Consider the following 15,779-nt stretch of genomic DNA (forward strand, 5'->3'; position numbering starts at 1 on the left):
CAGCCGGCTTGGCTTTTCTCTTCTTCAGTTACCCACATTAGGAATTCAGGCACTTTCCCAGGATTATTTCTCTCCCCTTCTTCCTTCCTTCCCTCCCTCCCTCCCTTCCTTCCTCTCTCTCTCTCTCTCTCTCTCTCTCTTTCCTTCTTTCTTTCTTTCTCTTTCTGAGAGTCTCACTGTGTCAAACAGCTGAAGTGCAGTCGCTGGAGTGCAGTGGCACAATCTTGGCTCACTGCAACCTCTGCCTCCCTGGTTCAAGCAATTCTTCTGTCTCAGCCTGCCAAGTAGCTGGGATTACAGGCGTGCACCACCATGCCCAGCTAATTTTTGTATTTTTAGTAGAGACGGGGTTTCACCATATTGGTCAGGCTGGTCTTTTTTTTTTTTTTTTTTGAGACCGAGTCTTGCTCTGTTGCCCAGGCCGGAGTGCAGTGGCGCGATCTCGGCTCACTGCAAGCTCCGCCTCCCGGGTTCACGCCATTCTCCTGCCTCAGCCTCCCGAACAGCTGGGACTACAGGCATGTGCCATGATGCCCGGCTAATTTTTTGTATTTTTAGTAGAGACGGGGTTTCACTGTGTTAGCCAGGATGGCCTCGATCTCCTGACCTTGTGATCCGCCTGCCTCGGCCTCCCAAAGTGCTGGGATTACAGGCATGAGCCACCGCGCCCGGCCCTGGTCAGGCTGGTCTTAAACTCCTAACCTCAGGTGATCCACCCGCCTCGGCCTCCCAAAGTGCTGGGATTATAGGCAGAAGCCACCGCACCCAGCCTTTCCTGCTTTCTTTCAAAGACCCCCTTATGGAAGGTGTTTATACATGTGGCAGATTTTATTTAATATTTAGAGTCCAGAAATGGTATCACATCACTGCACTGCTCAACCTCCCCTGGAGAGTCTATCTCACCACAAAGCAATCTGCCCTCTCTGAGGTCACCTGTCAATTTTGGTGGCTGGTTATCAGGCACACTGACTATTCCTCACTTCAGGGCCTTAAGTGCGTCACTGCTTAAGGGCATTCTGAGACACCGGGCCTGCGACAGGGGGGTTTATGCTCTAATACCAACCCAGAGCTGATGGGGAGCATATGTAGGTAGATAAATACCCCAGCTTCCCAGTCTCACAGTGGGGAGATTGTGTAGCATGTTCTACAGAGCTCTGCGGAGAGTCCCAGCACCAGCAGTGTTCTTATTAACATATGCCACTGTAGGGTGGCTATAATTAACAATAATATATTATGTCATTTCAATAGTGAGAAGGAAGATATTGAATGTTCCCAACACAAAGAAATGATAAATGTTTGAGATGATGGATATGCTAATTATCCCGATCTAATCACTCTACATATGTATTGCAACATCACTATGTACCCCATAAATATATACAATTATTATTTGTCAATTAACAAAATAAAATTTAGTTTACAAAAACACAGAAAAACAAAAATCCTTCATGGCTTCTCTCTTTTTCCTGTCTCTCACTTTACCCACCCCCTCACTTCTGTTTCCTAGCAACACCTCCCGGCAACCTGCCTACACCTAAGCCCTTCCTTAGCAGCTGCTTTTTGTAAAACCTAAACCAATACACCTACTCTCTGTATTTCAGTTGCTACTAGTTTAAATTCTCTGCCCTCTCTTAGTTTTTCAGGCCTTTGGTCTTATAGCTGAAGTCTCATGAATATCTCCGTGAAAACAACATGCCATCTACTCTCTGTATCACGCAGTTTAGCAACATAGAGGAGCTGTGTCTTTGACATTTCAGTCTTCCTTTTCCTCTTGCCTCCACCGGTGTCTGTTTGCAGTAGATGGAAGCAGTGAAGAAATTTCTCTGCCCCTTGATATGAATTGTGCATGGACTATGGTCTCTTGCAAGGCAGAAATGACTGCAGTAAGCTTGCTTTTATGCAGTTTTACTTCCATCCAGTGGCAGGATATGTTTCTCCTTGGATGCAGTTGGAGCGGGTGGTGGACACAGGGATTTACGGAGTAAAAGCAGGGAGAATATCAGGTCTTGCAACATTATGGTCGCTTTAGAGGCTCTGGCACCAGATTTAAGTGCTGAGTGAGGTACATGGAAGGTGGCTTCAAGGGTACATTGGAGGCACCCAATAGAGCTAAGTGGCACCATTTGGGAGGAATTTGATGGATGGTTGGATTTCCTACAGCATAAATGAGAATGAAATCAAGGTTATCCTTTTAGGTGATGTCTATTTTGATTATTTTTAACCTCCAGGCTCATGTGGCCTGGAAATATGCATTACATCAAGTGGCTTAATTTTTTTTTTTTTTTTCAGATGGAGTTTTGCTTTGTTGCCCAGGCTGGAGTGCAATGGCGTGATCTCGGCTCACTGCAACCTCCTCCTCCTGGGTTCAAGTGACTCTCCTGCCTCAGCCTCTGAGTAGCTGGGATTACAGGGGTCCACAACCATGCCCAGCTAATTTTTGTATTTTTAGTAGAGACGGGGTTTCACCATGTTGGCCAGGATGGTCTCGAACTCCTGACTTCAGCTGATCCACTTGACTTCAGGTGATCCACCCGCCTCGGCCTCCCAAAGTGCTGGGATTACAGGCATGAGCCACTGTGCCTGGCTTAAGTTGTTTAATTTAACTGAGTGAATGCGCAGTAATATGTTCATGGACAAACCAGGCACAAAGGGATGTTTTCCCATAAAGCAAACACATGATGGCAGATACTGTGTGAGGCTAGAGGTTCTGTCATATTTGAACTTGGGTGGAACCCTGTGAGAATGACACAGTGGTAAGGGCTTCTGATACCCTGAATAATGCCTAGAATTGGGAATGATTTGAACAGATGAATCTGTTAAGAAAAGTTCACTAGGAAGATTGTGTGAACCAGTTCTTTGGAAGAATGAAATTTGTAGCTGCTTTAAGATCATGCAAACGGCCAAGTGTGGTGGCTCACGCCTGTGATCCCAGCACTTTGGGAGGCTGAGGTGGGTGGATCACTTGAGCCCAGGAGTTCAAGACCAGCCTGGGCACATAGCAAAACCCCGTCTCTACAAAAAATAAAAAAATTAGCCCAGTGTTGTGACACATGCACCTCTGGTCCTAGCTACTTGGGAGGCTGATGTGGGAGGATTGCTTGAGCCAGGAGGTTGAGGCTGCAGTGAGCCGTGATCACGACACTGCACGTCAGCCTGGGCAACAGTGAGATTCTGTCTCAAAAAATAAAAAAGATGATACAAATTATTACAACCTTAGGACTCGGTGAAGCTCAATAACATTTATTGAATGTATTATTTACTTGGGTACATAAACTCCTTAAAATTGAGTGTGAACTTTTTCTGGAGAAAAGATTTGTAGTTTCATCAGATTCTCAGTGGTTGGGTTTGTGATCACCGCCCCCGCCATCCCCAAAGATTAAAAGCCATGAGTATACTTAAAAGATAAATACTCTGGGTCACATAAATCTACCAACATTTAACCTCTGTCCTGTTGCTGTACATGCGTGCATTTGTACTTTAATGGTAACAGAAACAACCCCACCACCACCACCTCCATAATGAGCCTGAGGATCGCATTGCCAAGTTGACATCCATGCTTTTGTGTGTATGGAAATGGGTTTTATACTCAGATGGATATAGGTTCGAGTCCCTGTTCTGCTAGTTAATAATTATATGACGCTGATTCAGGAACTTTATCTCCTGTGTTTTATTTTCTCTCCTCTAAAATGAGAGTCCTACCTCCTATGTTGCTGTGAGGATTAGAAAGAATGTATGTGACCTCCTTAGAATTCCTTCTTTACTCTCATAACTCTGTTACAGGACTTAGGTTGCTGTGTTGATTGGGGTTCACTTTTAGAGAACAGAATCTACTCAAGCTATAGAAAAGTTGATTTTTTTTTGAGTTGGAGTCTCGCTCTGTTGCCCAGGCTGGAGTATAGTGGCACAATCAGGGCTCACTGCAACCTCTGCCTCCTGGGTTCAAGCTGTTCTCCTGCCTCTGCCTCTGCCTCCTGAATATCTGGGGTTACAGGTGCCCACCACCATGCCCGGCTAATTTTTGTATTTTCAGTAGAGACAGGATTTCACCGTGTTGACAAGGCCAGTCTTGAACTCCTGACCTCAAATGATCCATCTGCCTCAAGCCTCTCAGAGTGCTGGGATTACAAGCGTGAACCACCATGCCCGGCCGAAAAGTAGAAATTTGAAGGGCTAAAGAAACAAGATTCTAGGCTGAGTATTCAGAAATGATTCTCAAAGCCACACTGCAGAATCAGAACACCAAGGAAGCTGCTGCATATTCTCTTGTCAGGAAGGCATTTGCTGAATGGGGAAGCTGCTGTAACAGTTGTTGGCCATGAAGTCATACCATCACTGATCCAATCAGGAAGCCGTCATGAGTAGAAACCTGTCTCCACAATGACCAGCTTTAGAATGGAGCTGTACCTGCTGTAGCCTGCTCCTTGACAGAGGAGCTAGTGCCTGAATGCTGCTAATCCTACCCTAGAGAAACCACACACCTCTGTGACCATTTTTTAAAAATTATTATTTTGAGACAGAGTCTTGCTCTTTTACTCAGGCTGGAGTTCAATGGCACAATCACAACTCACTGCAGCCTTGAACTCCAGGCTCCAAATTCAGCCTTCCAAGTAGCTGGGACTACAAGTGTGCACAACCATGCCTGGCTAACTCTTTAATTTTTTGTAGAGACAGGGCTTTGCTATGTTGCCCAGGTTGGTCTTGAACTTCTGGGTTTAAGAGATCCATCTGCCTCAGCCTCCCAAAGGGCTGGAATTATAGGGGTGAGCCACCATGCCCAGCCTCTTTGTGACCATTTTTAAAGTGTAAATGTAGAAACAACAAAAAAGGAGGGCTCTTACCTCATAATCTGATTTAAGAAACCTAAATCACACCCAGAGCCCTAGCTGCAAGGGAGTCTGAAATATGTAGAATTTTTTTTCTTTGATCTTTCATCTTCAATATAAGAGAGCACACTAGAAAGAGATTAGGTAGATACTGAATGTTAATCTGCCGTGTGTATTCTAGTAATTTTTATCCAAGTATTATTAGTAGAGACAGAATTTCACCATGTTGACAAGGCTGGTCTTGAACTCCTGACCTTAAGTGATCCATCCACCTCAAGCCTCCCAGAGTGCTGGGAAAACAGGCGTGAGCCACCATGCCTGGCTGAAAAGTAGAAATTTGAAGGGCTAAAGATTATTATTTATTATTTTGTTCAAGTAGTATTTTTATTATTATTTTTTCTGCTCTGGAAGCTTTTTATTGTTGCTCCAAGTTTAAGAATTTTCAGTGATGGTAGAAAACCAATACTTTTAGACAACCTCCCGCATAGCCCTGCTCAGCTTCTGAATCTTGGTCTTAACAGACATGTCAACATATTTCTCTCAAATGCGCACAATCATTCCACCCATGATTGACGGATCAGTCTTACCCTCCAATTTCAATACTTGGCTTTGACTTAGGAAGCTCTTCAGGACTGTTTTTAATTCAGAGAGTGTGGCTTCCTCTAAAGGAGATGCAGTGGTCCCTGTGCAAGGTACCTCTCCACGGTGGACACTCATCATGATAGAAAAAGAAGAAACGACTCCTTGGGTATTGCTTAAGCAACCATATTGAGCAAGCAAATTGATCAGGGTTGGAGAGAGAATGTCTCTTTGGCTGTGATGTCATTTAGGCTTTTCACTTTAATGGAACACTTCACACAGGGATTCAAAATAGAAGCAGCCACTTTGGGTTCCTTTAGGATTTGTGCTATTCTCAACAGCTCCTTTTCTACTTGCTCCAGCTTATTCTGTTTCGATGCAGCAGAATAAAGAGCCATGGCATAGCGACCTTCCATACTGTGTACCTAAACAGGAGGCCTCACAAGCTTGACAATGGTCTGACCACAGATGTACTGAAGCATCACACCTGCCAGGAGAGCCCAGACACTGCTGGGGGGTGGCCATCACCTCCCGGGCACCCTTTTACTATTTTTTAATTATAGAAGTAATACATAGGCCAGGTGTGGTAGCTCATGCTTGTAATCCCAGCACTTTGGGTGGCAGAGGTGGGAGGATTGCTTGAGCCCAGGGGTTCGAGACCAGCCTGGGCACCATAGCAAGATGCTGTCTCTATAAAAAATACAAAAATTAAGGCCAGGTGTGGTGGCTCACGCCTGTAATCCCAGCACTTTGGGAGGAGGAGGTGGGTGGATCACTTGAGGTCAGGAGTTCAAGACCAGCTTGACCAATATGGTGAAACCCAATTTCTACTAAAAATACAAAAATTAGCCAGGAGTGGTGGCATGCGCCTGTAGTCCCAGCTACTCGGGAGGCTGAGACAGGAGAGTTGCTTGAACCTGGGAGGCAGAGGTTGCAGTGAGCCAAGATCATGCCACTGCACTCCAGCCTGGGCAACAGAGTGAAACTCCATCTCAAACAAAAACAAACAAACAAACAAACAAACAAACAAAATATGAAAATTAGCCAGGCACGGTGGTGCACGTCTGTAGTCCCAACTACTCGGGAGGTTGAGGTAGAAGGATTGCTTGAGCCCAGGAGGTCAACGCTGCAGTGAGCTGTGATCGTGCCATTGCACTCCAGCCTGGGTGACAGAATGAGACCCTGTCTCAAAACAAAAACAACAATAACAAACAAAACAAAAAAGTAATACATGAATATATTCTCTTTGTAGAAGACAAGAACAGAACAAATCTGTAGAGTAAAAAGTAAACATCCCGACCCACTTAGTTCCCACATCGCTTCCTAGTGGGAGTCACTGACAGCAGTTTACTGGCTATTGATTCAATCTTTTGTCTGTGCCTGTATATGTACATAGAGGTACATACACATATCTAAGAATTTTTAAAAACATAAATATGCTAATACTAGTCCATAACTTTGCTTAGAAATCTTTCCATGTCTGGTCATAAAGATCTAACAGGGGTCGGGAAACTTTCTGCAAAGGGCCAGATAGTAAAGATTTTAGGCTTCGTGGACCACATATAGCAGTGGTCCCCAACCTTTTTGGCACCAGGGACTGGTTTTGTGAAAGACAATTTTTCCATGGATGAGGGTATGGGGCAGAAGGTTTCAGGGTGAAACGGTTCCACCTCAGATCATCAGGCATTAGATTCTCATAAGAAGTGCACAACCTAGATCCCTTGTATGTGCAGTTCACAACAGAGTTTGTACTCCTATGAGAATCTAATAGATCTGGCAGGAGACGGAGCTCAGGCGGTAATGCTCTCTCGCCTGCCACTTGCCTCCTGCCATGCAGCCTGGTTCCTAACAGGCCACTGATCTGATATACAGTCTCTGTGACATAGTCTTCTGTTTTTTGTTGCTATTTGTTTTTGTTTTTTTTTAAACAACCATTTAAACATGTCAAAAACATTTTTTTTTTTTTGAGATGGAGTCTCGCTCTGTCACCCAGGCTGGAGTGCAGTAGCACGACCTCGGCTCACTGCAACCTCTGCCTCCCAGGTTCCAGTGATTCTCCTGCCTCAGCCTCCCTAGTAGCTGGGACTCCAGTTGCATGCCACCACGCCTGGCTAATTTTTGTATTTTTAGTAGAGACAGGGTTTCACCATGTTGGCCAGGCTGGCCTCGAACTCCTGTCCTCAGGTGATCCATCCACCCCAGCCTCCCAAAGTGCTGGGATTACAGGCGTGAACCACCGCACCTGGCCCCACATTTTTTTTATTCACTCATCCTTCAATGGATATTTAGTTTGTTTCCATAGTCATCTTGGCTATTGTGAATAATGGTGCAATGAACACAGGGGTACAGATATCTCTTTGGGATCCTGATTTCAATTCTTTTGGATATGTACCCACAAGTGGGATTGCTAGATCACATGGTAGTTCTATTTTTAATTTTTTGAGGAAACTCCAAACTGTTTTCTATAGTGGCTGCATCATTTTGCATTCCTACCAACAGTGTACAGGAGTTCCACATCCTTGTCAACACTTTTTATCTTTTTCTTTTTGATAAGCGGGGCTGCTGGGCCAACTCTCTCTTCCCTGGGAGCTGAGAACTGGACGTTTTTTTAATCCACAAGCTCTGTGTTGTGCAAGGGGAAGGGCCAATGGCACCTATCAGCCAGAGACTCCACCTCCATTCTCCCCTCGGTATCCAAACTGTAACTGATCATGAGACTTCCAGGACTGGCAAAATAAAAGCTAGTGTTTGGGGAAGTCCTCTCACAAGAGTTGGGGTGCTGGACACAAAGACCAACCTCTCCCCTCCTCTGGTGGAAGCTTGGGAGTGAGGGGATCTTCTCATGGTCATACAGCATGGGGTTAGGGGCAGGGTCTCCAGTGAGAGAGTGTCCTTAGTCTCCTTACTGGCTTTAGTGAGTCTGATGTAGCATTTTCTGGGGGTGCAGGAGCCTTTCAGGTAGTTTCTGATCTTTTGCAAAGGGATTTTGTCAATGAATTTTTGCTGAATCAGTATGTGGAGGGGAGGGGGGAAGGATAATTCAGGGTTTTTTATACTGCCAAGTTGCTGACATAACCTCTTATTAACACAACTACTTATTTTTGTGAGTCTAGAAAGTTGTTAATCCTTTTTGAACCTCATTTCTTTTAAAAATAACTATAAATTGGAGGTAGCAACACTGAGACTTTATTAGGTTGCAGTAAGCATTAAATGAGATAATGTATGCATTTTGTGTGGATGTTACTGGCCCCTACTCCCAGTGGAGCAGAAGACTGGATCCATTTCATGGACTCACTAGGGGTGGCTTACATTTCCTTAACACCAAACTGGCTAATTAAAAGATGGCTTTAGCCATTTGCTCCCTTTCCTACTCTGGGCTATATTCTCTGAGAGCCACCATTTCTGCCCAGCACTTTTTTTTTTTTTTTTTTTTGAGACAGGGTCTCACTCTGTCACCCAGGCTGGAGTGCAGTGGTGCCATCTCAGCTTACTGTAACCTCCACCTCCCAGGTTCAAGCAATTCTCCTGCCTCAGCCTCCCGAGTAGCTGGGATTACAGGCCCCCACCACCACGCCCGGCTAATTTTTGTATTTTTAGTAGAGACGGGGTTTCACCATGTTGGCCAGGCTGGTCTCGAACTCCTGGCCTCAAGTGATCCACCTGCCCCAGCCTCTCAAAGTGCTGGGATTACAGGTGTGAGCCACTGTGTCCGGCCTCTGTCCAGCACTTCTAACCCTCCTCCAGCAACTACTTCCTCTTGTTCCTCCATGCCTGGGATATGGGCTCTATTCCAGGCACTACTGCTGGTTCCTCCACTAGGATCTGAACCTTCCTGTCACCCATAAACAGGCCCTTTCCTAGGGTCAGAGCAATGCTTTGGTCTGTGGTCCGTCTTGGGGATTGGGGGACTGCTGCCCTCCCACATCCCTGTTAGAGAGACGATAGGAAAGCTGGGCTGCATGTGTACCAGCATCTTCCAGCATTGATATGTAGCCTTGCCCCTTACTGTTTAAAACCAGTTTCCTCTGCTCCTTCCTTCACTCTGAGGACTTTGTAATTGGACAAATGTCAACGTCCCTACTGTTTTCTCCCTTAGGATCAATTTTCTCTCAGGAGGCTCTTCATTGACTCATGCAAACAGATTTCTGGCGGGAACTGCTCCAAGGCCTTCCAGATGTGCACAGGCATGGATGAATCAGAGCAGAAGTGGACAGATGTAGCTCAAATGGAGGGTTCTGCTATGTAAGTAAAGCATCCAGCCTTCCACGTTGGGAGTCACCACTAGTCCCAAGCTTGAGTTGAGTCATCTTTAATTGAGGTACACAGAGTAGGGCAGCTTTGAAGTCATTTACACCTGAAGCTGGACTCCTACCCAGTGTCTTTCTCTCTTTGTGACCTGGAGTTGGCTACTTAACTTTCTGAGTTTCAATTTACTCACAGTTAAAATAGTAATAATAATTTTCATTTTATGGTTTGTTGTATGCATTACTAAATAATATTTAGAAAATATCTGGCAAGTACTAGGTTTGCTTTTTATTTTTTTTCCATTAAGCATCTCTTTTGTGACTTACTAAGGCTGAGTTTTATTTTATTATATTTCTATCATTCTTCTTTTCATGTAGTCTTTTTCTTTCTCTTTTTTCTTCTCTTTTTCTCTTTCTCCCTGCCTGCCTGCCTGCCTACCTTCCTTCTTTTTTTCTTTGCTGTGTTTTTAAAACAGTAGACAAATATTGGAGAACAGGACCCCATCATTAGAACATTGACAAGTTTTTCTAGCAGAAACAGTATTTTGTTCCAACAGTTGTGTAGGCTTAATATATAAGTAACTTCACAATATCCTTAAGAAATTAAACACAGATCGGAGAGTTCTGAAATTATTTAAAAATTTAAAAATGTTAAAAATCAGCTGGGCGCGGTGGCTCACACCTGTAATCCCAGCACTTTGGGAGGCTGAGGTGGGTGGATCACCTGAGGTCGGGAGTTCGAGACCAGCCTGACCAACATGGAGAAACCCTGTCTCTACTGAAAATACAAAATTAGCCAGATGTGGTGGCACATGCCTGTAATCCCAGCTACTTGGGAGGCTGAGGCAGGAGAATCGCTCGAACCCAGGAGGCAGAGGTTGTGGTGAGCCAAGATCGCGCTATTGCACTCCAGTCTCCAGTTTCACAAGAGTGAAACTGCATCTCAAAAAAAAAAGTTAAAAATCACACATAAGCTCACAACTTACATGAACAAAAGAACTTTTATATTTTATATTACTTACCATAAACCAATAGCAAATATCTATTTCTCAAAGGCACAAATTCTGCATAAAATTTAGCAATGCCTTCCCATACCTGTTACCCAAATACAATTCAACAAAATCAGTGACACCAGGGTATTGTGAAGCTTAAACTACAACTGGATGTAAAGTGAGCTTATCTAAGCTGTTGTTATGGTGTTAACTTTATAAAAAATGGATCTGAGAATGGACTTTCTCTTTCTACCTAATCTAAAAGGTAGGACGCTGGAGATAGTAAATTACCCCAAACCACAAATGGGAAACAGATGGCTTTTCAGCCAGGGACAGAACCAATTATTTATAACCTTCTCCTCGTCATCCTTCTTACAAACTAAACCTGGCAAATGGTTGGGAACATGAGCTCACAAGTCAGTAGGACCACAAAATATGCTGACTATACTGTAGGCTAGTTTCTTCCTGAAAGAAGGCACAGTAATGCAGGACGAAAATAGGGGTGATGAAAACAACTTAAGGTTACTTTTGATTTTTAAAAGTAGTAATTCCGGGCTGGGTGCTGTGGCTCATGCCTGTAATCCCAGCACTTTGGGAGGCCAAGGTGGGTGGATCACCTGAGGTTAGGAGTTTGAGACCAGCCTGGCTAACGTGGTGAAAACCCGTTTCTACTAAAAATACAAAAAAATTAGCCAGATGTGGTGGTGCGTGCCTGTAATCCCAGCTACTTGGGAGGCTGAGGCAGGAGAATCGCTTGAACCCGGGAGGCGGAGGTTGCAGTGAGCTGAGATCGCACCATTGTACTCTGGCTTGGGCAATAAGGGTAAAACTCCGTCTCAAAAAAAAAAAAGTAATTCTGGCTGGGTACAGTGGCTCATGCCTGTAATCCCAGCACTTTGGGAGGCTGAGGTGGGTAGATCACCTGAGGTTAGGTGTTTGAGACCAGCCTGACCAACATAGTGAAACCCCCTCTCTAATAAAAATACAAAAATTAGCTCGGCGTGGTGGCAGGTGCCTGTAATCCCAGCTACTCAGGAGGCTGAGGCAGGAGAATTGCTTGAACCCGGGAGGTGGAGGTTGCAGTGAGCCGAGCCATTGCACTCCAGCCTGGGTGACAGAGCGAGACTCCGCCTCCAGAAAAAAAAAGTAATACCATCACAGCTATTGAATGAAATGTTTCCAAGTGTTCTAATATTAATTCTGAAGTAGTCAACATCATGTTTTTAGAAGGATGTTATTGAATCACAACATATTGTCACTTGAAGTCACCTCTAATCTCAGTTCACAAATAAGAAAGTGTGATATACTTATTGGGCAAACACAGTGGGCAATGGACCAGCCAATGAGGACACCCCAATCCTGAGTTACAATTCTAAATGCTACCTCATTTGTACACACTGGGAACAGGGAAAATGTCAGGTTACAAGCAAAATATATTTGCGTAGACCTTTACATTTTTCACTGTGCTATTCTCAACAACACTGTCGATTACTATCCTCTTTGAAATCCACATCTAACTCAGATCAGCAATGAAGGCTCTTGCTTTAATTCTTAAAACCAGTAATGCCAGCGTTGCTGATCTACGTGTAGGATTTCAGAATTTAACCAGGCCAGATAAATACAACTGTGTTCAACTCAACTAGGACCAGGAAGTTCCCAAGTGGACTTTGCATTGAGTGGAGTTTTAAAATTCCACAGAGGCCCACCAGTGGATTAAGTATGTATTCTTGGAACACCAAAAAACAGGAGGCCTTGTTGGTATCACTGGCAATCCCTAGATGACAAAGTTTCGAGTAAGGTGAAATGAAGACAGGGTCTTGCTCTGCCACCCAGGCTGGAGTGCAGTAGTGTGACCTTGGCTCACTGCAGCTTGAATTCTTGGGCTCAAGCAATCCCCTAGCCTCAGCCTACTGAGTAGCTTGGACTACAGGCACATGCCGCCATGCCCAGCTATGTTTCTATAGAGACAGGGTTTCACTATGTTGCCCAGGCTGGTCTTAAGCTCCTGGCCCAAAGCCATCATCCTGCTTTGGCCTCCCAAAGCACTGGGATTACAGGTATGAGCCACTGTGCCTGGCCCAAGAAAGTAATCTGTTTAAAGTTTAGCGCATAAGGAATTCAATAAGGAGAGGTCATAGTGCTCCCTCAGGTATCGTGTAGAAGCAAAGCAGAGCTCACATGTGTTTAAAATGTCATCCAGGGTCACTCTCTGAAGTGCTAATTTTATGTTTGTTTTTACACAAAAAAAGAAAAACAATTAATCTTCCAACTCAACCAGTCAGTCACCTAGTATAATAACTTAATTAGTTGGGTATAGTTCCTCCATTTCAAATGGTTTACATAATTGGATATAATAGAGAGCAGTATTCAACAAAAGGTGATCACTATAAACATGTGAACTATCATCATTATGAAAGTGCTTGAGGAACACTGCGGGTGGGTTAGGGCATGGGATAAAGGTGGAGTTAATCTAAAAAAGAAAAGACTTCATTGAGAAGGAGTTTGAAAGGAGATAGGCAATCTGGCAGCGAAAAAGATGGAGAATCCAAGCCATGTGTAATATATATGTGCCTGCTTGAATTTTCGTTAGTACCACATTGTCCCTAATGGCATGAAAAATAATAAAACACAAAGTTGGATGAAAGTTAGATTATTCAACCTGGAAGAACGTGTTTATAGATATGATATCCTTAATTTTTTATGAAACTTTCTCTTTAACAGTTTATAATGACAAACCTCTAGTTGAGTGGAAAAATCTGGCACTGGAGAATTTTACTTAATTATATAACTGAGAGTTGACAGAGCTTTTAAAAAAAATTAGCTTGTGCCATGTAAAAGTGCTGGTATTTGATCTTGACCATTTTTGACCTAACAAACTGGCAGTGTTTTATGCTTTGACATAAAACATGGATTAATTTAATAAAAATAGTTATATATACCAGGTGCGATGGCATGCCTGTAAGCCCAGCACTTTGTGAGGCCAAGGCAGGAGGATTGCTCACATCCAGAAGTTCAAGACTAGCCTTGACAATATAGCGAGACCTCGTCTCTCCAAAAAATCAGAACCTATCCAGGTATGGTGGTGTGTGCCTGTAGTCCTAGCTACTTGGGAGGCTAAAGTGGGAGGATCACTTGAGCCCAGGAGGTTGAGGCTACAGTGAGCTGTGATCATGCCACTACACTCAGCCTGGACGACAGAGTGAGACCCTGTCTCAAAAAAATAAAAAAATAACTCAAGAAGAGCTATATATATTTATATATGTAATATTTGACTTATTACATACAATTTGTCTTATTTCATATTTTATTTCTATACATAGTATAGTTCAGTATATTTAACATTAAAACCCTACTAAACATAGCATCATTTTGATGATTGAGAAAGCACTTCCTTCCTCATTCACTAGACATTCACTGAGCACCTATTATGTTTCCAGCACTCTGCTCCTAGCTGAGATACAAGGATGAGTAAAATATATGTCTTGCCCTTGACTTTCTCAGTTTAGTAAGGGAGATGAACACCTTAAAAGATGATTACGCAGAGAGACTGTGTGTACAGGGGTTAAGAAGGAAGGCCCTGAGGTCAGACAAACCCAGATGTTTAGTCTGGTCTTCACCACTTTTGCTAAGGGCCAAAGCTCTTTTAGCCTTGTGGAAATAATAACAGTACCTCCCAGGATTCTTGTGAGAGTTAAATGTGACAATGCACATGAAGTTGCTTAGCATTGTACTGTACTTAACAAGTACTCAGGAAATGCTGAGTATTACTGTATGTGTTAAGTGCTATTTACATAATTAGATGTGGTTGGTACTTGCTTCCTTTGAGTGGAGTTAGGTCAACTGGTTTTAATGATAAGCAACACATGACAGTGACAATGGTTTCTAGTGAACTATAGTGAACTCCTCGTAGTAGTTTAGAGAAAAATCTCATCATCTTTCCCTGGAAATGAGACCTGTTATCAATCAAAAGTGCTGGTCTAAGGAAGTGACTGAACAGATTGAACATACCTCTCAGGAGTGGGGCTGGCTTTTCTAGGTACTCAACATTCTTTTAACGCTTTTGATTAAAAAAAAAAAAAAAAAAAAAAAGGGCTGGGCGCTGTGGCTCAGGCCTGTAATCCGGCTCAGGCCTGTAATCCCAGCATTTTGGGAGGCCGAGGCAGGTGAATCATGAGATCAGGGGATCGAGACCATCCTGGCTAACACAGTGAAACCCCGTCTCTACTAAAAATACAAAAAAATTAGCCAGGCGTGGTGGCGGGCAGTTGGCAGGTGCCTGTACTCCCAGCTACTCGGGAGGCTGAGACAGGAGAATGGCATGAACCCAGGAGGCAGAGCTTGCAGTGAGCCGAGATCGCGCCACTGCACTCCAGCCTGGGTGACAGAGTGAGACTCCATCTCAAAAAAAAAAAAAAAAAAAAGAAAAGAGGAACTGAAACAGGAACTAATAGATTTAACAGATTTGATGATAATTAAGACTTAAATTCTTTTCTCCAGTTCACGTTTGTGTTCTCACACAAAGTAGTTATTGCCAAGATGCCCAGGCACATGAATGCCTTTATCCAAACTTACTGAATAGTCTTTCCTTCAATAAATACTATTGAGCCTTACTGTTTGCCAGGCACTGTGCTAGGCTCTGGGAGTATGAAGGTAAGCAAAACCACAGGCTGGTGGCAGAGACAGACATTCATGAAATAAGCCTCCCCATACATAATAATAGTTGCTCTAAGTGAGAAGTTTAGAGCAGGGGCCCTGATTTAGGCTGGGGCATAGGTTTGTAGAGGCAGGGAAGAGTTCATTTAGGGAAGTAACATCTAAAAATACCACTTACCCTTTAGAAGAGCTGGCGATTTTCTCTCTCTTTTTTTTTTTTTTTTTTTTTTTGAGACAGAGTCTTGCTCTGTTGCCCAGGCTAAAGCTCAATGGTGCAATCTCGGCTCAGTACAACCTCCGCCTCCCGGGTTCAAGCCATTCTCCTGCCTCAGCCTCCCAAGTAGCTGGGATTACAGGCGCCCACCACCACGCCCAGCTAATTTTTGTATTTTTTAGTAGAGACAGGGTTTCACCATCTTGGCCAGGCTGGTCTTGAACTCCTGACCTTGTGATCCACACCCCCACCCTTGGCCTCCCAAAGTGCTGGG

At 43.9% G+C, this 15,779-nt stretch overlaps 1 long non-coding RNA gene and 1 pseudogene across 1 annotated transcript in view; one reads left to right on the plus strand and one right to left on the minus strand.

Moving 5' to 3' along the window:
• CMKLR2-AS (CMKLR2 antisense RNA) overlaps positions 1-15,779 on the plus strand; it is a 62,868-nt gene that overhangs the window by 27,569 nt on the left and 19,520 nt on the right. Inside the window, exon 2 of the long non-coding RNA NR_104359.1 lies at positions 9,499-9,644. This is a non-coding gene — a long non-coding RNA (CMKLR2 antisense RNA). The remainder of the gene's footprint in view (positions 1-9,498; positions 9,645-15,779) is intronic.
• ATP5POP1 (ATP5PO pseudogene 1) lies at positions 5,222-5,939 on the minus strand (annotated as a pseudogene).

This window comes from Homo sapiens, chromosome 2, assembly GCF_000001405.40.
Source record: "Homo sapiens chromosome 2, GRCh38.p14 Primary Assembly".
In the NCBI taxonomy this organism is placed as follows: Eukaryota; Metazoa; Chordata; class Mammalia; order Primates; family Hominidae; genus Homo; species Homo sapiens.